This window comes from Homo sapiens, chromosome 11 (assembly GCF_000001405.40).
Source record: "Homo sapiens chromosome 11, GRCh38.p14 Primary Assembly".
In the NCBI taxonomy this organism is placed as follows: domain Eukaryota; kingdom Metazoa; phylum Chordata; class Mammalia; order Primates; family Hominidae; genus Homo; species Homo sapiens.
The window spans coordinates 120,958,131-120,979,271 of record NC_000011.10 but is presented as its reverse complement, the minus strand read 5'-3'; the positions used below and the strand labels follow the sequence as shown (position 1 = coordinate 120,979,271).

At 46.1% G+C, this 21,141-nt stretch overlaps 1 protein-coding gene across 16 annotated transcripts in view, besides 1 other annotated feature; it reads right to left on the bottom strand.

Annotated features, from left to right (window-relative positions):
* The window catches only part of GRIK4 (glutamate ionotropic receptor kainate type subunit 4), a 477,159-nt gene that overhangs the window by 9,635 nt on the left and 446,383 nt on the right, over positions 1-21,141 (bottom strand). For 12 of the 16 annotated variants that reach the window (NM_014619.5, NM_001440404.1, NM_001440403.1 and 9 more), the window contains 3 exons: positions 18,198-18,363; positions 16,591-16,816; positions 11,949-12,077 (listed from right to left, as the gene is read on the bottom strand). In NM_014619.5, coding sequence (NP_055434.2) covers positions 11,949-12,077; positions 16,591-16,816; positions 18,198-18,363 — 521 coding nt within the window. Of the gene's footprint in view, positions 1-11,948; positions 12,078-16,293; positions 16,817-18,197; positions 18,364-21,141 lie in introns of those variants that run through there. The other 4 variants (NM_001440409.1, NM_001440408.1, NM_001440410.1 and 1 more) reach the window with 1 other exon arrangement.
* Positions 20,526-20,747: a silencer, noted in NCBI's record as "fragment chr11:120829234-120829455 (GRCh37/hg19 assembly coordinates)". NCBI's record gives its function as "represses an EF-1alpha promoter that drives an FKBP-Casp9 reporter gene in an ReSE screen in HepG2 liver carcinoma cells {active_cell/tissue: HepG2}" and the evidence as "EXISTENCE:reporter gene assay evidence [ECO:0000049][PMID:32094911]".

Below are 21,141 nucleotides of genomic sequence, written 5' to 3'. Positions count from 1 at the left end.
AAGTTTTTACAAATATTAAATTTAAAGATTAATGAAGTTGAAACAATGTTACATTTTGGAGATATTTAATTAAACATGTCTTCATTTAATTTTGCAGTTTCCTTTTTGCATTCTGAAGCCAGTACTTTTTATTCAGACCTCAAACATAATTTGGACACTCAAAAAGCTTTTAAGCTCCAAGTAATTCTGTCTATGAGATCTAAAGGAGAAAATAATTCTGTTTTGAATACACTTTTGTTCTTGCTATTCAATCTTCACCCCATGCAATTTTGTCTTGCACCACTAAAACCACCCTCGCTGTGGTCACCAATGAACATTTTGTTTCGAGCCTAATGGAAATTTTCTAGTCCTGATCTTGCATGACCTTTGTTAGCACTTGACACTGTCAGTCACACTCCCATCTTGGCTTTTTATAAAGCCATTGCTCATTGCTCTCTTCCAATCTCCTCAATCTCCTTTGATTGGCCCGGGGCACATTTTCTTCTCATTTTCCTACCTTTGGTCTCTTGCCTCTCCTCCATGTCTTGGCTATTACCAAGTCCTGCTGATTTTGCCTCCTAAATATTTTTCAGTTTCTTACCCTTCTCCCTATTCCTCCTGCCACTTCCCTAGTTCAGGCACCCACCATCTCTTGCTTGGACTATTGCAGTAGCCTTTAAAACTATTTCCCTGCCTGTAGCTGTTTCCTTCTCAACTCTGCACACTACACAGTTGCCTCACTGATCTTTCTGAAATGCAAAATCTAACTGTGACACATCCTCAAGTAACAGAATTGTTTATAGTTCCCAGCACACAGCATCGTTGCTCTTACCTTCCATACCTTTGCTCCTGTTAATTCCTCTGCCTGGAACCTACCCCTACTCCCCAGACACACATCTGGCTAACCTTAACCTTTGCTTTAAGACTTAGCTCGGAGGTCACTTCCTCCAGGCTGCCTTCTCTACTCTTACCTGACTTTTAGGTATACTACTTTTGTGTTTTACTAATAATACCTTGTTTATCACTATTATGCATAAAATAATACACTAGTTTATATATCTGGATTTCCCACTACACTGTGAGCTCTTTGAGGGGAAGAACCATGCCTTGTTCAACTCTATAACCTCACGGTCATGGTACCTGGCCCATTATAGCTCAGTAAATGTTTGTGGAAAGAATGAGCAGAAAGAAAGAGGATAAAGACATTCCAGATGCAGAGGGCTGCATTACCAAAAGCTCTGGACCCATATGTATTCCTTTTTAATTAAATTTGGTTTGAAATAACGGTAAAACATGACAGCCCTGGTTGAGTGCTCCGCCCTGGTTGAGTGCTCCAGCCTGGTCACAGAGGAAGATGGCCCACACTGTACTGAGTGATGGCTAAAGGGGACTGAATATTGACATGAGCAATTCACAACATGGACCGCCTGTATTGGGTGGGGGTATTGGGAGAGTTATTAACAGGCATGTGGCCTGCACTGGGATAATTTTTATTAGATCAGGGAAAGCTTTGAGGGGAGTTGAGGTTTAACAGGAGGCTGGTAGAAACCATGAGTCACTGAAACACCCCATAGTCTTTCTTTCCCAGCTTCTCACATTTCATGGCCAGCATGTTAATCATGGGTGTTGGCTCCAGCATCCTGATTCCTGGCTGAGTGGCCTCCTCCTCATAGAAGCAAGGCTTGTATACCATTCGTGCCTTGAGGAAGTTATTGGAAAGAGGAAGCAAGAATAGATTGCTGGCAGAGTCAGAGTTGAAAAACAGATGGAGCGGGGAGTGGGAAGGGAGAGTTCGGAGAGCGCAGCAGTTCCATTTAACACTGTCATCAGTCATTCTCTAGAAGTCAAATGCCTTCCACAGCACATCGACATTCATCAGAAGGGGCCCTTGATGTGGACTCCCTCCAGCCTACAAGGCCCACGCGGCACTCACAGATGCCTCAGCAATGGCAAGGGGGACTGGGAAGACATCTAGTCATGTCTTTCCTTCCCTTCTTCAGATGGGACCACACATAAACCATGCAGGCAGATGGCTTTACAAACTGGGACTTTCTCCTGACACTTGAGTCTCTGAGGCTCAGCTGTGCCCCAGCAATCAGTTGCATTCACTGAAATAGAATCACGCTCTCCCCACAAACTCCTGGTTGGCTAAATACTAACTTTGGTGTCACCCGCAGATTGCCCGCAAATATTTTGCCCAAAAAATGATAGTTCACAAATGCAAATGAATAATGTTCTTTGTCTCTTGAACTACAAAGGGGAATGGCACCCTGGAAGAGAGCACCTGTGAAGAGATGTGAATCTCCACCCACCCACTTGCTCTTCCTTTGGTTCTGTCTGGCTAATAACCACTTCTTGGATTCAGGTACACTCATGTCCTAGCCCTTAAAACACTCACATATCTCCACGAACCACTGTGGAAATCTGCAACTAAAATACAGAGGGAAAGCTCCTTTTGAACAAAAAGTGAGGGAAGGCTGGGAAAAAAGGCAGAGGCCACAAAAGCCATGGAGGCAGGTGCAGAGAATCCACTTGCACAGAGGACTGACTAGTGCCACGAGATCCCAGCAAGAGACAATGTATTTGCTCTTTGACATTGGTCAACAGATCTTGACTGAGGAGCTTCCATGAGCTGGGCACTATGCTAGGTGCTGAAGCTCTGTGCCACACTGGCTCATCAAGAGCATTGGACAAGAACATGGATTCTTGGAACCATATGGCTTTCAAGCACTTTCTATTTCAGAACTATATTCACCTATAGCCATGCAAGTGTATCAAATAGTCCGATCTCCAGGGACTTATTATTGTAAATAGCAACTTTATGTGCCCCGATATAAACTGACCTACATGATCTTCCCAGAAAATTCAAAGTGATTCATCATGTTGAAACGGTAAGTTTGCCATTTCTTCTTGTATTCACCAAGGCATCTGGTGACTAGACCTAGCACATTCTGGAGAGAATAATAGGAGAAAAGTAGGCAAAAGGAACTCAAACTAGAAGAGGGATGGGAGAGGTATGTGATAAATTTTGCAATTTATCCAAACACGAGCTATGGGAGGTTGCTTATAATCCATCAAAATATGAGCTCAAGTGCCTCATTTTTCATTTGCTATCTCATTCAATTATCGTTAAAAACACCATAGAGAAGGCCCATTGTCCCCACTTTACAGTTAAAGAAAGAGAAATTCAGAGAACTTAGGTTGTTCATGTTTTCATAACTAACGTGAATTCTAGATCAATTTGATTCCAAAGCGAATGCTCTGTATAAATATAAAGCTGACCTTTATGAGTGTTTACTATGAGCAAAGTCAGCATGCTAAATGTTTTAACTCAATCCTTACAGTTACCCTGTGAAATGGGCACTACTCTTACCTCCATTTTTCCTGACACAGAAACCAAGGTGCAGAGGAGTTAGGTAACTTGCCCAAGGTTCCACGGCTGACAAGTGGAAGTGCCTGGATCTAAACTGATGCCAGTCCCCTCCCGTCTACTCCACACCATCTCTCCCAGTCACTCGGCATCCACTCATGCTGCAGGGGGGTGATTACAGAACTCATCCTGGCATCCTAATGACTGAACACATTCCTGGGAACCTCTAGAGGGACACAGGGTAGAGGTGAGGGGGTCTACGTGTGAGTTACAGCTCAGCTTATAAAATCCCCTTCTGTCCTTCAGAACATGACATCGCATGTTTGAATCGATGATTTGTTGGCTTAATCTTGGCCCAGTTTCCAGACAACAGTGAGCTGAAGTCTTAACAATTGTGACCTGCTTTGTTGCAGACTCATGGGGCCACCATTTGCCTCTGTTCTGATCATGGTTTCTGGAAATCCCTCTGGAGTTTCTCTCTCTCAAAAATAGATCTAATTTGATCAGAGAGAGGCTTCCTCCACAGCATCTCTCTGAAACACTATCTAAATTCCCATATTCAGGTTTCCAGCCTCGGCTCTCTCCAGAGAAACCAGAGAACCAGGATAACCACGCTGGATCCCATGAGAAGAAAGAGAGAGGGAAGCATCCCTGGGGCCCCCTCCACTCCCATCACTCACCCCCACTCTTGCTAAGATGTCTCACACTTCCATTCCCACCGTGCCAGACAGCAAACTTCCTGTTTTCCAAGGATTCTGTGAGTCAATGCCACTGGCCTCTTTTCCATTCTTGAAAGGGAACCCTGATTTTCACAGCCTGGTGATGTATTTATGTTCCTTTGAAGCCTCATTGTGAGCTCATGTTTTTCAAGATAAAGGTATTTAATTTCCTTGGAGTTCACCGACCACCTTTTTGTCTAGCAATTGTTCTGCAAAGACTTCAGTAATCCAATCTCCTTGAATTGGGATGCCAGCATCTGTGAGTGGCTAGCGATATTTTCTTTTTATAGCAGTTAAGTGAGAAAATAAATAAATAAGTGTTTTTTGAAAAGAAAAGGCAGAAGAAAATGAAACAGCTTGGAATGGAGCCTGTTCCTTTTTGTAATCTCCAGTTTTCCACAGGATCTGCCGTTTCATTTTTTTAGCGAGGTAGGGAGGTGGACAGCCACCCAGCTACAGGCAGGGAGAGTCAGAGGGGGCGAGGAAGCGAAGGGGTAATATTGTGGCTCTTACCAGAGGCAAGCAAGACCTGGCAAAAAGACTCGGGATTGGTGGCATCACCACATCGTTAGGATTCTTCTCTGGAATTTGGCAGTAATGTTTGAGCTGTAATATTGGATTAGAAGTGGGGTAAGCACCAGTTCCTTTTCTTTGAAATTTCTCGAATTTTAATAGGATAACAAAGTAGAAAAAGATTATGTTAGGCACTGGCACGTCGTCTGGTACATTCTAATTAAAACTGCAGCCACTCTCAGTTTCAGAGGTCTCCGAAAAACAGACCCACTCATAGTTCCTTTCACCTCTATCCCTCTCTGCCCATTCCATATTTCTCTCCTTCCTTTAGGCACACGTGAAAGCCAACTGATTCAAATTCTAAAAAACAAATTTAGAGCTGCTTGGGAAAGCAGGTGAAAACTACTGCCCTCTGTTCAGTCTGAGACACAGGAAAAAAATGTTCCTAGGTCTCGATTCTTGGTGAACACTTAAAGACTTAAAGCCCGGGTGTGGTGGCTCACGCCTGTAATCCCGGCACTTTGGGAGGCCAAGGGGGGCAGATCACTTGAGGTCAGGAGTTCGAGACCAGCCTGGCCAACATGGTGATATCCCATCTCTACTAAAAATACAAAAATTAGCTGGGTGTGGTGGCATGCGCCTGTAATCCCAGCTACTCAGGAGGCTGAGGCAGGAGAACTGCTTGAACCCAGGAGGTGAAGGTTGCAGTGAGTCAAGATTGTGCCATTGCACTCCAGCCTGGGCAACAGGATGAGAATCTGTCTCAAAAAAAAAAAATGATTTAAGGGAAGAGATCTTTGGGTCATGTTGGTCGTGTTTTTCCAAATCCCTTGAACAACGAATTATATACCATAGTAAGTTTGACAGCTAATTTATCAGAGAGAGACCAAGCAATGGCACCTCCCGTTTCGGGCTAGTGCTTCTTACTTGGCTTGGAAGAGGTCACGTGCAGTTTCGCTTGGCCAAGAAGCCTCTTAGCCTCTCTGAGTAATGTTTGCTTGGGCTCCAGCCATGGCACAAATGGGGCCACCACATTAAACTGGCACTAGCAGCTATGGCTGGGACAGTAGCTGAAGTCCTGGCTTTCAGAGTGATTTGCATAGCATCTCCCAGACAGCCCCACTCTGAAACATTGCCTCTTATTAATATAGCTCAACCTCTTGTTCCAAAGGATGACCGTAGAGAGACAAGTTAACACTGGCTGGCTGATAGCACCCAGAAATCTTCGGATGCATTTGGGACCTGGACAGGATGACTTCCACTGTTTATTTTCCCTTTCATCTGTTCAGTTCTCTCCTTCATGCCAGGGAACATTTGGTCCCAAAGTGTGGTGGAGAGAGGCCTCCTGTTCACTTCTTTCCATCTTTCCTGGAAGCCTGATCTCCCTTTCTGCCTCCCTTCTCCCTCCATCCTGAACTCTACTGTCAGCACAGTCTTCCAAAAACTGTGGAACCATCTAGACCTCTGTGGATGCGGAACTGTTTCCAAGGCCAACAACTGCAACAATTATAACTTTATATTTCTATTCCACCTCCAACTTCCATTTCCACCACATGGCCAAAAACGTAGAGAATTTTCAGTCATTTCATGTTTAAATTCACTTAAATCCAGTGTCTTCTCCATTCCCTCTTCTTCCCGGGATGTATTTCAGGTTTGCGGTTGTGTCATTGTATTGGGGTGGGGATAGGTGTCTGGTCTTATGCCGTAGTCCACTTAGATTTCCAATATCTTTGTCTGGAGTTAAGGAAAACTCAGGCCTTTCACTGGGCCCTCTGCCTTGGGTCCCTACGTGCCGCCTCTTACGTCCCCCACTTCACTAAGGCATGGCACATATTTCTGGGGTTTGCCAAACTCCAGAAATATGCGTCATACCACAGTACAAGCCCATTACACAGCCAAACTCTCCAGAAGAATTTCTCCAGAAATTCTTCTCTGCTCCACATGTACCACCCACAGCCCCTGCACAAGTAAAAATCTATTTAGAACTCATGGAATATCCAGCTAATTCTGGGAGTGATATCTGCCTCTCTCCGGCTCCCAGAAGGGCAGGGACCAACCACATTTTAACATGTCCTTTTCTGCTCAGAAGCTCCTGTCCTGGCCAGGGCATCCTTTTATCTGATTTGCAGACTTGGTGGCCTGGTTCTTCTATTTCTTTCTCTTTTTTTTCACTCTAACTTCTAGCATTAACTTTTTGACCAGATCCTATTAGGAATTAACCTTCTGTATTCCAAAATACTTCTCTGGCAAATCAAAAACCTCGCTCTCCAAGGACATTATCTCTGCTGTGAGCTTTAAGAACTTATTTTGGAACTTAAAGCCAATAATTTGACTTGATTTCTCCTGAGGCAATAACTATCCCCTGGGACCATGAATGCCGCCAAGAGCTCAGAATTCCATCCCACCACACCAGCTTTCCGTGTGCCACATCTCACCCCAGAACCTTTGACGGCTATTGCCAATGCTCCCAAACCCAGTCCAGGGCACTGTTGGTGTGCCGAGGAGTCTGACAAAGCTGTGGCATGATGATGGGGCATCTTCCTGGGACACTGATTTTACTTAGGGCTTGGGTGGGAAAAAAATTCTTACATTAAATAAATATGCCTGTATTACAGAGTAAGATGCAAAATTCACATGTATTTTTAGGACAGAACAGAAGACTTCCAGGAAATTCTGAACAAGTAGGCTGCTCTACACAATGTCCTAGATCCCCAGCAGCTCCCATTTAGTCTCCTCTGCTTTTGGTTCCTCCTGTGAAAAAGCGTGAGACAGATTGGTTGCAGTCCAAGTACCTTTACCCGGTTTTCAACAGTCCCTTAAGTCCAACCTCATCCTACCTATTCAAACCGAGTTCTCAGTGTAACACCTGTGCCTCACAACAGTCCTAAAGCAGCGATTCCTAAGGGATGCTTCCAGGTCCAGGCCATGTGCCCTTAAAGCCTTCCCTGACCATTCCACAGAATTCATCACTTCCTCTTCCGGGCTTCCAGACATTCTCTTTATACCGCTATTAAAACTCTCCCATACTGCAACCATTACAGCAACTATCTGTGTCTCTCTCTAGCTTCTAAACCTCTTAAGGGCAAGGCCAGGTTGTAATCCTTTTGGTAATTTCAGAGCCTCGCACAGTGCCTGGTACACAGTAGTTTACCACGCTGTTTGTTGGCAGCAATAAGAACTACATGAATACTTTCCATTGCAACACTTGGGGTGCTGGGCACCCGTTTGAAAGGAAACAATCATAAGATAAGGCTTTCCAGACTTTTCCTCCTCCAAAGTCAGGAGGACTTTGAGATGCTTGCTCATTCACTTGTTCATTTATCTATTCATTTGTTGTTCATTGTTTCATCAAATACTGATGGCAGGTGATGTTCTGGGCATTGGGACACAAAAATTAATAAGACACAGTCCCTGTCCTTGAGTTGCTTATTGTCTATAGGGGGGAAAATGTCAACAGACAGAAAATATATGTCTTAAGTGTTGATTTTTGAAGAGCCCTTCAGCCTTAGGGAGAATGGATGAATGGGCACATTCGCAGCTTGGGGACACTACTTAAACCTCTCATTGTGCCTTAATTGCTCGTTCAGGCCTAGATTTTGGAATAAAATTCGTTGCCATAAACTTTGTGCCAGGCACTTTGCTGAATGCTTGATTTATCTTACTCAACCTTCGCAACAGCCCTGGGAGGTGGCCATGCTATTATTACCTCTGTTTTCCAGAGACGGAAACTGAGGCTCAAAGATGTTTCAGAGTGTCTACTATCACAAGGGCATCTATGGAGTGAAGTCCATTTGACCCAATGTCCATTCAAAACCTATCAAAACTGCCTCAGGGAAGAGAACCACCCTAGTGACTGTCAGTAGAACAAACACATACGCAGGAGGGTAAACATTTAATGAGCTCCAGTCTTAAGAGGTAGGTGGGGAGGGATGAACAAAAGAAAGGGTCCTTGGACTTTGGGCGAGATCTGGAATGGGAGAGATGGTCTAACTCAAGGTCCGTGAGTGGAGACTGCAAGGCACCGAGATCCTGGATCCCCTTCCCAGAGCTTGCCAATGGGGCTGCCCTCTGCTCCTCCACAAGAATGAGCAGGAGATGCAAATCAATACACATGACTAAGTACACAAAGCAAGAGGTCCTGGGGCTGGATTTAGGGTTCAGGGAGGAAAAGGGGAACTGGAAAGATGTGATCAACTCAGTAGCAAGTCTAAAGGGGAAACAAAGGCTCAAGAGATCAAATGGAATAGGGTTGAAAAATGAAAGGAAAGCAGGAAATCCCGGACTAGTAAGGAGGAGGAGAGAAGAGAGACTTGGAACTGACCAGAGCTTGCGGCCTGGACCTGATGGGTCAATGACAGGATCCTTTGGAGGGTCCCTGCACTGCCCCTGGCCACTCCTGTGTGGCTCCAGCCTCCCTCTTCTCCAGCACCTCTGCACCACCACACGCCTTCCGTCAGCTGTTCAGAGGAACAACTGAGTGTGAGCGGACAGCTCCTGGTGCGAAGGCTATTTGGGAAATAACTCCAAGCACAGTCTCATGAGTCACGTTAGCATGACCCAGGAAAACACAACAATTGGTAGCTTCTGACAGCTAGCAGCAGTTTTCATCACACATCCCACAAACACTGAGTAACTACTATGTGCCTGGCTCTGTTGGGGAGGCTAGGACCACAGAAGCAAATGATACTGGTTCTGGGTCTAAGGTGCCAGCAACTGAGTAGAGGAGACCAAGATTGCAGCATAGTGCATTGAGTGCTCTGTCCAAAGTCACAGAAGGCCCTCAACCCACTGTGGTGAGGGGAGAGGGAGATCAAGCGTTTCTAGGAAGAAAGATACCTAGACATTTCTTCTATTTCACTTATCAATCAGAGGAAGGATTGATAAGCAGAAGGTCCTTCTGCTCTAGGCCCCAGGTTCACCTCTCCATTTCCACTTTAGAAAGCTCCAGAGCACAATACCACTGCTGTTTCCCTGCAGATGGAGGAGAGACGGCGCTCTTTCCTGCCATCCTTTAACTCATTGTTATCATAGAGCAACATTAACATATGCTGACAATCATCCAACTTTATTTTAGCTATTCCAGGTCCAGTCACATGTTTCCAATCCATGTGTCTTCTTTTGGGGGAAGGAGTGGAGGAGCATTTTGCTACCCACACCTTCCCTAGTACAAACCCATTACACAACCCAACTCCCCAAATGCGAATTCTTATCTGTTCCACATGGACCACCCGGCGCCCCTGCACACAGCCCTGCCCACAGCACTGACTCCTGCCCCACATCCATCTTCAAGGTGCGTATCTGCCTGCAATGCCCTCCTCCCACGGTGTCGACCTATTCAGGTCCTGGGCATCTTCAAAATCCAGTTCATTCTATCCAATCCACAAAAGTGCCTTGACACTTTTTTCTGCATCCCCCCCATTTTCTTTTACTCTGAACAAGGAGAAGTAATCTCCGCACTTCACCCCCCAGTATTTAACTGTAATTTGGCAAGTGTCAAGAATTGTTTGCTAACCACTTCAAGTAAGTGAATTTTGTTTCCAGAAGTCACCTTAAGATGCTTGCTGGTAAGCCTGTAGAGCTTTCTTATTCCCAGGAGTGTGAAGTGATGTGCTGGGATACCTCACTGTCACTCAGCATATCCCTATTGATGGAATGGCTAGCTGAGCCTTGAAAGTAACTCCTCTGCAGGCAGCTGATGGAATCAGACTGCCCTGAAGTTCTGAGAGCAGCAGAGCACGGTGCTAGGGTGCAGATCAGTCACAGCTGTGATACACTGGGCCCAGGGATGAGCCAAGCTCTGTGCTTTTTCACTCTCCCTTCACAGCAGCCCTACAGTGTGTTACTTACTGAACTCATTTTACAGATAAAGGAATGAGGGCTCAGTGCTGCTAACTAATGTGCTGAAACTCACAGACTCACAACTGGTAGAGACGAGACTGAAATGAGGTCTGCCCATGCCCTGTGTCCATTCGTGTCCACTGCTTTCCCCATGGTCAGCTCTGGCCTTTGGGGAGTGAAGAGCCAAGAAGTGTGTGGCCTCACTCAGTTCCTCTGAGGGCAGCATTTCCTTTAAATTATAAAAAATACTTGCTCCGTATATCCATATTCTTGAGACCTCTTCTTGCAAGATAGAGATCCACGTATAGACACTGAGAATCACATAGTTATTCATTCACTGTCTCATCAGGGACAATCATTCATGCTGAGCAGAAAAGACAAGCACATGATATCCTTCATCCTACTCCTCAGCTGTCTTCCTCGGGCAGAGCGTGGACAGGTAAATCTGTTGCATATTTTAACAAGGCTGCAGTAGATGGAGTAGTAGATATGGTACGTGACCATATGATTTATTGTCTAAACCAGGACACTTTGAGAATGAACACTGTCTAGAAATAATTTATAGGCATTAACTGATCTACAATAGATAGAAACAAGACTATACCATCCTGGGCAAACTAGGGTAAGTGTTCCCCTACAGAAAATCCTGGGTGCTCAGGGACCGTCAACACTTCTTAGCCATACATCTCAGTAAGTGACTGCTTTCTATTCAGCCTAATTTAACATTTGCTCATCCTTTCGATAAAATATCCACATGTCCAGCTCTTTGGGCAGCCCTGTGATGACCAACCCTACCCTCATGAAACTTACATTCTAGTAGAGGAAGTGGAAAGTAAACAAATACACAAGAAATATAATATCAGGTAGCGATGAGGTCTGAGAAGGGAAATAAGGTGGGGTTAAGGTGATGGAGAGAAATGTGTAGGGTGGGAGTGAAGAGCTCTTCGAGGGAAGGCCAGGAGGAGGGAACAGGTGCACAGGCCCTGGGGTGGAAGAGCCACATGGGAGGCTTGGGGACCACAGAGAAGAGAGGAAGGCTGAGGGGGAACAGATCACACAGGGTCCTGAATTTTATTCCCAGTGGGATGGGAAACCATTGGGAGGTTTGTGGGGGGAATGCTGCCATCGAGTTTGCATTTTTAAAAAGGATCACTCTGGCTAGTAGCGGAGAATATACTGTAGAGACGCAAGAATGGGAAACTGAAACCAGGCGACTGTGACTGCACAGGTGTGGAGATGATGGGCCAGGGTAGAAGCCATGGTGCTAGGGGTCAGAGGCAGCTGGGTTCAAGAAACAACATGGAGGCAGAGCCTCTAGGACTTGGGAGCCGGGTGGACACTGGGTGCCTGCGATACGCAAGACCCTGGGACAGACCTGATCCCCCGCCAGCCCACTTTATACCTAGGTTCCTTCCAAGGCCGTTCTCAATGGGTCCTACAAGTCATTATGTGTACCTGGAATTTGAACACGAGAAACAAGCTACTTTGGTCCTCTAGGGCAGGAGGAGGATGGCCCTGAACGTCCTTACCTTTAGCTCTGTGATCTTCCTCCTTGGGGCACTTCCCTCCTTCCCACCATTTGCGCTTCAGGATCTCCAGGCGGTTGTTCTCCTGCAGCTGGAGAATGGCCAGATCAAACTCGTCCCGGAAAACCGAGCCTGCGGGGGTTACGGGAGAGCCCAGGACACAGGTTGTGAATGCCCTGTTAGGTGTCACTCTGCTCCCCTTCCCGGCACACCTCCTGGCCACCCTGCCTGCTTTCACCTCGAGAGGGGACAGACAGATGCAGCGGGTGGGGCGAGCCCATGGGGCCAGTGCTGTCTACTCCACTGGGGCTCCCCCGGAAGAGCGGGGCATTCTGGCTTCACGCAGTGTTCTCAGGCTTTTCTGCTTCCCTTCTCTCCATGCTGACTGGCAGGTCCAGCCCATGGCCAAACACCCCAAGATGGGTCAAGAAACGGCTTTCCAGGCAGTTGTGCCATCCACTTCCCCAGCCGGGCACCATCACTTTCTAAATTAAAAAGATGGTCTATCCAAGTTAAACAACCTGCCCACCGACACACAGGACGCTGGCTGCAAAGCATCCCATCCACCTCCAGGAAGCCAAAGTTTGTGTTTCTGTGACACAAACCTTTTAGTCAGGTGTGTCCAATTTCTACTTTATTTAAATTAATTTCTCACAGCCAGGCACGGTGGCTCACGCCTGTAATCCCAGCACTTTGGGAGGCTGAGATGGGCGGATCACTTGAGGCAAGAAATTCAAGACCAGCCTGGCCAATATGGTGAAACCCCATCTCTACTAAAAATACAAGAATTAGCTGGGTGTGATGGTGCGCACCTGTAGCCCCAGCTGCTCAGGAGGCTGAGACAGAAGAATTGCTTGAACCTGGGAGACGGAGGTGCAGTGAGCTGAGATTGCACCACTACACTCCAGCCTCGGCAACAGAATGTGAGGACTCCGTTTCAAAAATAAATAAATTAATTAATTTCTTAGGCACTTGTAACTCTCACTACATTACACCTGACAACTGTTTATCCAGAGAAGTCACCAATCAATGAGAGAAGAGCCACCCCAGAGTGTGAGAATCAGGTCACCAGGTGTTCCTCACTCTCAGCACTGCCTGCTGAGTGCACGAGAACCCACTGGCCTGTCCATCACCCTGTTTCTCCCAGTCCTCCTTCCCTCCTCAAAAGAAGGTTTTTTTCTGTTCAGTACCATTCTTTTTAATTTTTCTAACGCGATTTTGTCAAGGAGCTTTGGTTCTAGAATTTAGATTTCATTACAAAAACAGGCTTAAGTGAAACCACGGAAAGCTCAATGTCCCAGCACAGGCTGGGACATTATTAAGAAAAAGCTGCCAAGAGGCTGGAAAACAACTAAGCTGCCCAGTTTCCTTGCTCAAACTCCATGAAGGCTGGATGTGGACAGATGCCCCAGAGGAGAAAGGCTACCATGAAGGATCAGGCAGAAGCTTGGAACAAACAGATGAGTGCTTTTCAAATTTTCAAGTGCATTGCAATCACCTGGGGATTTCGCTGAACTGCAGAATCTGATTCAGTAGGCCTGGGGTGGGGCCTGACAGTCTGCATTTCCAACAAGCCCCAAGGTGATGTCCATGCTGCTGGGTCGTGGACCACACTTTAAGAGGCAAGGAACTAGAACATCTCCCAGATCTCTTCCAACTGTGACAGTCCACAGCTCCACAGTAGAACCTTCCCTACTATAGACACAACTATGCTTGGACGCCCAAACCCCAAGCCTGCAGCACTGGATGTGTGTCAGTGATTTGGGCAACCACCAGCAGAGCTTCATGTAGAGTAAGTACTTATTACACATCTTACACATTGTTGGACCCGAACCCCAAGCCTGCAGCACTGAACGTGTGCAAGTGATATGGGCAAACACCAGCAGAGCTTCAAGTACAGTAAGTACTTATTACACATCTGCCGTGAATGGACACATGAACGAGTTGTCTAACAGATGTTGTTAGGTGGTGAGACTAATGAACATTTCAGGTTTAGAGAGAACTGTCTAGCCCAGCAAAGCATTTCAAGCAGTTTCAAGGCATGTTCAACCCAACCTCAGAACACACCAGGGGCCACATGAAAGGCTTATTCTGCTTACTCCTTGGTTACCTACTTAGTTCCTAAGCCACCTGATTAATTTTCCATCTTGTTCCTTGTTCTGTCTCGCTTAATTTTCCTGGGTCTAACCACATTGCTTATTCCATAGTTAGGCTCTTACATTCCACTTAAGAATGATATACATGCTTGTATCTCCTGGGCATACTCCCAGCTGGACCTAAATCCTGACTCATCAATGAACTGTGTAATGTTCTTTCCAGCCTCATGTGGGAAGCTGGGCTAGCTCAGAGTAGACCTTCCCACCTATCCTGTCCTTTCTAGCTGATAGGACCCATTGGCAATATGGTCTGGTAAATGAATTACTGGACTGGAGACAAGCATCCTAGGCTCACACCCAGCTTCTCTACCTATTCTGTGACCTTGGACAAGTAATCTATCTGCTCTGAATCTGAGTTCTGTCCTCTATAGGATGGGAATAACCACATCTATCTTGCAGGGGGGACTATTAAGTGAGAGAACATGTGAAAACAGTGTCATGTCAGATATAGAGCAAATGAATTTCCTTCCATTTTTCCTTGGTTATTGATGAAAATTTCTAGAGTTGTGGTCTATCTTACCCCAACTCTCCATAGTTTTGTTCCATGAAAACTTTGGAAGCATTTGAAATTTAGTTCAAATTGCTAGAGTATCATCAATGTGTGCCTTAAGTTCATTTTGCAGTTCACGCTACCATCTTGAAACAAAATGTCAGCGAGTATATCTCTCAAAGGTGTCCATAATCTGTATTATTAGTGGACACCAATGACATATAATAGCATATAGAGGGTGTGCAGGTTTCTGAGTACCCAGAGTGAAGCCTCCAGTTCACAGTTCACAGAACTCCTAGTGCCATAATTTACAGAGTTCAGAGATGAACCATATTATTACCTATGTTCATTTTCTTTGTTTCTGATCAGAATTTAAGTCATTTGCTTTTGTCAAGTAGTGGTGGCTCACGCCTGTAATCCCAGCACTTTGGGAGGCTGAGGTGGGTGGATCACCTGAGGTCAGGAGTTCAAGACCAGCCTGGCCAACATGGTGAAACCCCGTCTCTACCAAAAATACAAAAATTAGCTGGGTGTGGTAGTGCACGTCTGTAGTCCCAGCTACTCGGGAGGCTGAGGTATGAGAATCACTTGAAGTGGGAGGCGGAGGTTGCAGTGAGCCTAGATAGTGCCACTGCACTCCAGCCTGGGCTACAGAGTGAGGCTCCATCTCAAAAATAAATAAAAATAAATAAATAAATAAATAAATAAATAAAAACATAGGAAACCATGGAAGAAATGAGAAGGACACTAATATACCCCAAGGTAGGCTCAGTGTGAGACACTGAGGTAAGGCACCTAACTAGATTATCAGGTTTAATCCTCCCAACCCCATAATGTAGGTATTAGAAACCTAATTTTATGAATTAGATAACTGAGGCTAAAGAATGCATCTAAGGTACCACAGCCAGTGACCAGAACACATCCCGGGGTCTGCCTGACTCCCAGCCCGTGCTCGTTACACTCCACAGGTGTGAGTGAATCCTGCAATTTACAGAGTTTTGAGCTAAGGTAAAGATCAACAGCAGGGATGTGTACTGTAACTACAAAGATGAGCATACCGTATACCAATTTTCTCCCAGAGTCTGATGGCCTCGATTCCTGCTTCTTCCCCTGTTGCCTTGTACAAGAACACCCTCATACCAGCACAACCCTCTACAGCACGGGCTCTCTATGGTGTGTGTGTGAAGGGGCAAGTGTGCATGTCAGAAGCGGCTGGAGGAACATTCAGATCCCCTTCACAATCACCACAGCAGCTAAACATGTTCTCTCCTCATCTTCTTGGGGAGGTTCTGTTAGCAGGGGAAGGCCCAAAGTCCAAAGTGTGAATGTCCTTTTAAAAAGCACAGCTAGGACACCTTTCTGGAAGCCAAACGTCTCTATCCTCCTATTAATACAACAAGACGGGCTGACAGTCAGCAGGCTGAACACCAGAGCCTTACTGCCCCTTCTCCATGACCCACACCGACCTACCATAGATGGATCAGTGAAATCCACAAATAATTTGAAAGCATTCCATCTAATCATGGCCGTCTCCTTTAGAAGTAAACTTTTCACTGGCAACGCTAACAAATAGCAAAATTAACTGATTCAAATTTTACCATCTCATCCTTCTTCCCACTGCTAGTAGAGATAGCAATCAACAGAGAAATGGCCAAGGAGAAGCAAGCCAGAAAAGGAACAAAAGGCCTAAATACACACCAAAGACATTAACATGCCCTTTAATAATTACTATTAGCCCTTTAAATTAGTCAATTAATCAATCAGTAACTAATCAACTAGCTCTTTAATAATTAAGGATTGAGCACTGGTCGTTGATTAAAGGAAATATGTGTGTTTGCTTTAAAAAAAAAAAAAAAACTTTAGAATGCCCACGTAAAGTCACTGTTAAACTGGTTCTAACAACAGGGGGTACTGGATTCAATGCTGTATTCAGTGGTTTGAGCTACCCTGACCCTGTCTGGACAAAGCTACCCAAAGAGGCTGTTCCTCTCCCGCATACCGACTGGCATGCCAATCCCATAGCCCTTGGTGTCCAGCAGGCCCCCAATCTGAGTGAGGTTGCAGTTTCGCTGCCGATAGTACTCGTTCATGGTGGATTCCAGGAGGAAGGCGTAGTTGGAATTCAACACCCTGGCGATTCCCTCCTCTGTGCTCTTCACGAACACGCTGGGCTGCTTGGAATACATGTAATTCCACATGCGTTGGTAGGTCTGGTAGCGGGAATTCTGGGAAAAGAACAAAAGGAAGCAGGATTGGGAAAAGAGGAAGGAAACGTTGGCTTAAAAAGAGAGGGAATCAAAGTGCACCTTAAGATGCCGGCCCTTCTGCTTCTCCACCCGCTGATCACAGTCAAGAACCTTTTCCCTTTCTGTCTCTCAACACAAGATGTTCACTGTCACTGTGTAATGGCAGAGGAGGGAGTTGTGCCTTTGATACCTTTTATAGAAAGATGAGGAAGCAACAGCGCACTAAGGTCCTGATTTGGTCATTGGTTTTGCCTCATCTACCCTCAAGAGCTCTTCTACTGCCAACCTCCATTTTCCGGTAGAACTGAAATTCTGGCTGGGTACCTTCATTGTCCCTCAATTTGGGGCAGTGAACTTAGGTTCATTTAGGACTAGGTTCATTTAGGACTATACAGAGATACCCTTTGAAGAAGCAGTTTCCTATTTTCCATCCACCCTAAACCAATTGATCAATCACATATCCAATGCTGGCTGCTGTTTTACAAATAATAACAAGTCAGAGAACTCTGGGGGTCTATCCAAACTCTGTGTTTGCATGATGACTTCACTGTTGTCTGTGCCAGTAGGCACGGAGACTTGCCTGGAAAACAGAAAGCTGAAGGCATTGGACTTGTTTCATGGGAAAATGAACTTCTTGGATATTAGGTTGGTTAGACACCTTTTAACCCCAGGGGAAACCTGCTTTCCAAGAGAGCTTGAGGCATATGAAAACCACTATTCCATCTGGTCTGGCTGTCAGTCTTGGCGATCAATCAGTTTGCTTGACAGCGAACACATCGCTGTGGCAGGGCTTTCTCCTGAGCCTTGCAAGGGAAACTCAAAGAAGCCAACAGGGTCCCTATCTGATACCTATCAAGTCTGGAATCAGTGAAGCCAGTTCGTCTTAAGCTGGTGTTCCTCAAACTTCAGTCATTCATGTATGAATCTTGCTCTGTCTAAATACTACCTATACGATTTAAATCACTTTAAAAATGTAAATGTATGCATTAACCCCATTCTATGCAGTAATATAAATAAAACAACAGGTTTGATTCACTGCATATATATACTTTTTTTCTAATGGCCATTAATATAAACATGAAACTATGGCAACTAAAAAACAGTTCCACCACATCAGACCTAAAATCATCTCAAGTACCACCACTCTGGCACCGGCTGATATTAACGCAAAGTTCTTTTGGGACCTCATTCCAGGAGTATTTTGTGGAGCAGCAGATAAATGAGCCCCATGTGGACCTCCAAACTATATGTTCAAAAGAGATAATGAGATGCGGAGAGATGTTTTTATCTCCAGCAGAGAAACATCTCAACTTTATTCTGCCCAATTCCCGATGCTGGTGAGCAACCAAATGGGGTTTACTTGGAAGAAGGTCATGCTGGAGCCTCCGTGAATTGTGCCATATTCAATGGCGGTCTGGTCAGCCAGGTCATCCACTGACTCAATGGGCACATCCATGCGCTGCACGGTCAGGAAGGCTGCCAGGTTGGCCGTGTAGGATGAGATGATGATCAGCGTGAATGCCCACCTATGTAGGAAAAGACGAGGAAGTCATCATTGCCCGGGCACTCCCTGGAGTCTTGGCCCCTGACCCCAGTCCTGCTGTGACATGGGAGAGACCAGGCATCTTTCTTATGAAAGAGCTTTCAGCTTAGTGGGGGAAGAGAAAGGAGGCAGGGCATATGATGTCAACAGAAATGAATCGCGTTTGTGAGCACTGCCTGGAAGAAGACAGTTGATTTGTTTTTCTTATTTCCTAAAGGAGATGATTATTGGGTTATTATTCAAAAGAGGTGTAGTCCATGCACATGAGACAGTTTTGGAGACTGTGAGAAATGAGCTAGTGAATGAGCTGCGGGTGCCAGCTCCAAGGGCTCTGTTCAGAGCTAGAGCAGGAGGGCTTCCTCACCTCCTCGTGCTGAAGCCAACCTTCAAATGTGCATCGCCAGGCAGTGAGCAGCTACCACGAGCTACATCCACTATCTCACTTAATCCCTAGAGCTCACGGAAGCAAAATTCTTATCCCAATTTTACAGGTGAGGAAATTGAGGCTCAGAGAAGTGAAGCAACCTGCCAAGTAACACAGTGATACATTCTTTGTTTTTTTTTGAGACGGAGTCTTGCTCTGTTGCCAGGCTGGAGTGCAGTGGCACAATCTCTGCTCTCTGCAACCTCCACCTCGTGGATTCAAGTGATTCTCCTGCCTCGGCCTCCTGAGTAGCTGAAACTATAGGCATGCACCACCATGCCCAGCAAATTTTTGTATTCTTAGTAGAGACGGGGTTTCACTGTGTTGGCCAGGATGGTCTCTATCTCTTGACCTTGTGATCCACCCGCCTTGGCCTCCCAAAGTGCTGGGATTACAGGCGTGAGCCACCACACCTGGCCGATAAATTCTTTTTTTTTTGGAGACAGGGTCTTGCTCTGTCATCCAGGCTGGAATGCAGTGGCTTAATCAGGGCTCAATGCAACCTAGAACTCCCGGGCTCAAGTGGTCTTCCTGCCTCAGCCTCCCCAGGTACTGGGATTATAGGTGTGAGCCCCTGTGCCAGCTGATAAATTTGTATTTTAAAACCAGTTCTGTAAATTGTAACAACAGAACATCTTTAATAAAGACTACCTGGCGAAAAGCACTTTTGAACTGCTGAAAGGCTGGAATTAGAAAATACTCTTACAATGGTCATGCTATTTCAAATTAGAAGATTGTTTTACTGAGTAGACAGAACTCATTTGAAATTAGAATAATTTTGCAGCTCAGGCAGCATATATGCTAAGTCCATTAAAAACTGTGTGTTCATTTTAGTAGGTTAAACAAGCCTTCTCCCATCTGGTCAACAGTATGGATCTACATCCCAATCCCAAGGGGCTCAAAGATAGATCTAAGCACAGTTTGGGATGGAGAATCACAAATTCTGAATCAGTGGAGCCTGAGTTCATGGGGCTTTATCCATCATAGAGACACTGACGATGAATGCATAGTGATTAACACACAGAACTTGGCAACTTGCCACTGCTGTGTAGATTTTCAAGAGCAGCAGGTCCCATTGCCCCTTTTGCCATTGTGACCAAGAACACTTGCTGGCTGCCTCCCCAGGAGTGAAGCAACAGGGGCATCCTCTGACTCAGTGGGCATGTCTACATGGCAGACCACCATGAGCGAGCTGGGTTTTGGTTCTGGCTGTGTTCCACTGTGAGAATGTGGGGGAAAACCACTCGCCTTCTCTGAGCTCATTTACTTGTCTAATAAATATATGGGGATAATCATGCCTGCTCTGCCTATTGCTGGAGAGTTGTGAGATAAAATGAAGTAATATGTCATGAGTGATCAGCAATCTGTAAAGGACTAGAGGGATGTGAGATATAGAGAAATGTATAGAGAGACCATCAGACTGAATATGGGATGAAAATCACCTGGCTGCCTCCTTCTGCCTTCCCTATCTGTGACCTGTAAGTAGCAGGTATCCCTCCATGCCCAAGGTCTGCTCTCCCTGCTCCTGCCTCAGCTCTTCTGCCCTATTGGAAGGTGCTCTCATGACCATCCCTAAACAGAGACCTGGGGTGGGCAGTCCCCAGGAGGAAGCCAGCACTCTGCAGCTGCTTAGCTGTGGTGGTGTGTGCTGGGGGTTAATGAGCCCTAGGTGTGGACATGACTTCAGAGTTGGCTACACTCTGGCTACACACCAGGTGGCTATTTAGGCCATTGGTCACAAGGAAACTGGTCAGAGGGCACAAGCGGCTCAGTGCAAACCCATCGGCTCTGCTGAGAAAGGGAATGATGCCCGCTTCCGGAGGGCTCAGTGGAGCCTCGCTCCTGTGTCAAAGGGCATTTTCAGTTGTCAAACTGGCATTCTCTCCAGCGACATGGTGTTTTCTATCACGTGCTCTGGGTGAGGAGGTCGAGGTAGGCCACGATGGCCCTGTCTTCTGACCTCCCACTCCTCCATGGAACGGACCAAACCGAGGCCCTGATTTAAGAACTAGGAACTGTTAGTGTGCTGGGAGAGAAGCGCAGTGACCACCTGGAGTCGGGGCTGGCACAGGCCTGTCACGGCGGCTTGCATTCGCGCTGAGCCCCTTCTCACACAGCTCTGGAACAGTGACCAAGCCACCTGGGGCCAGCCATTTAAAGCAGCGCTGAGTCCTCCCCTCAGGGCAGGGCAACCTGCAGGATGGCTGGGTCCTGGAGGAGGGATTTCCTGGGGTAAGGGTAGAGCTGACAAGCGGATAAAGTGGGCAATGGGGTTCTAGCTGCATCCATCTGTGGGAGCAGGCACTCTCCAGAAGGAAAAGCCCCAGGGAGAAGGAG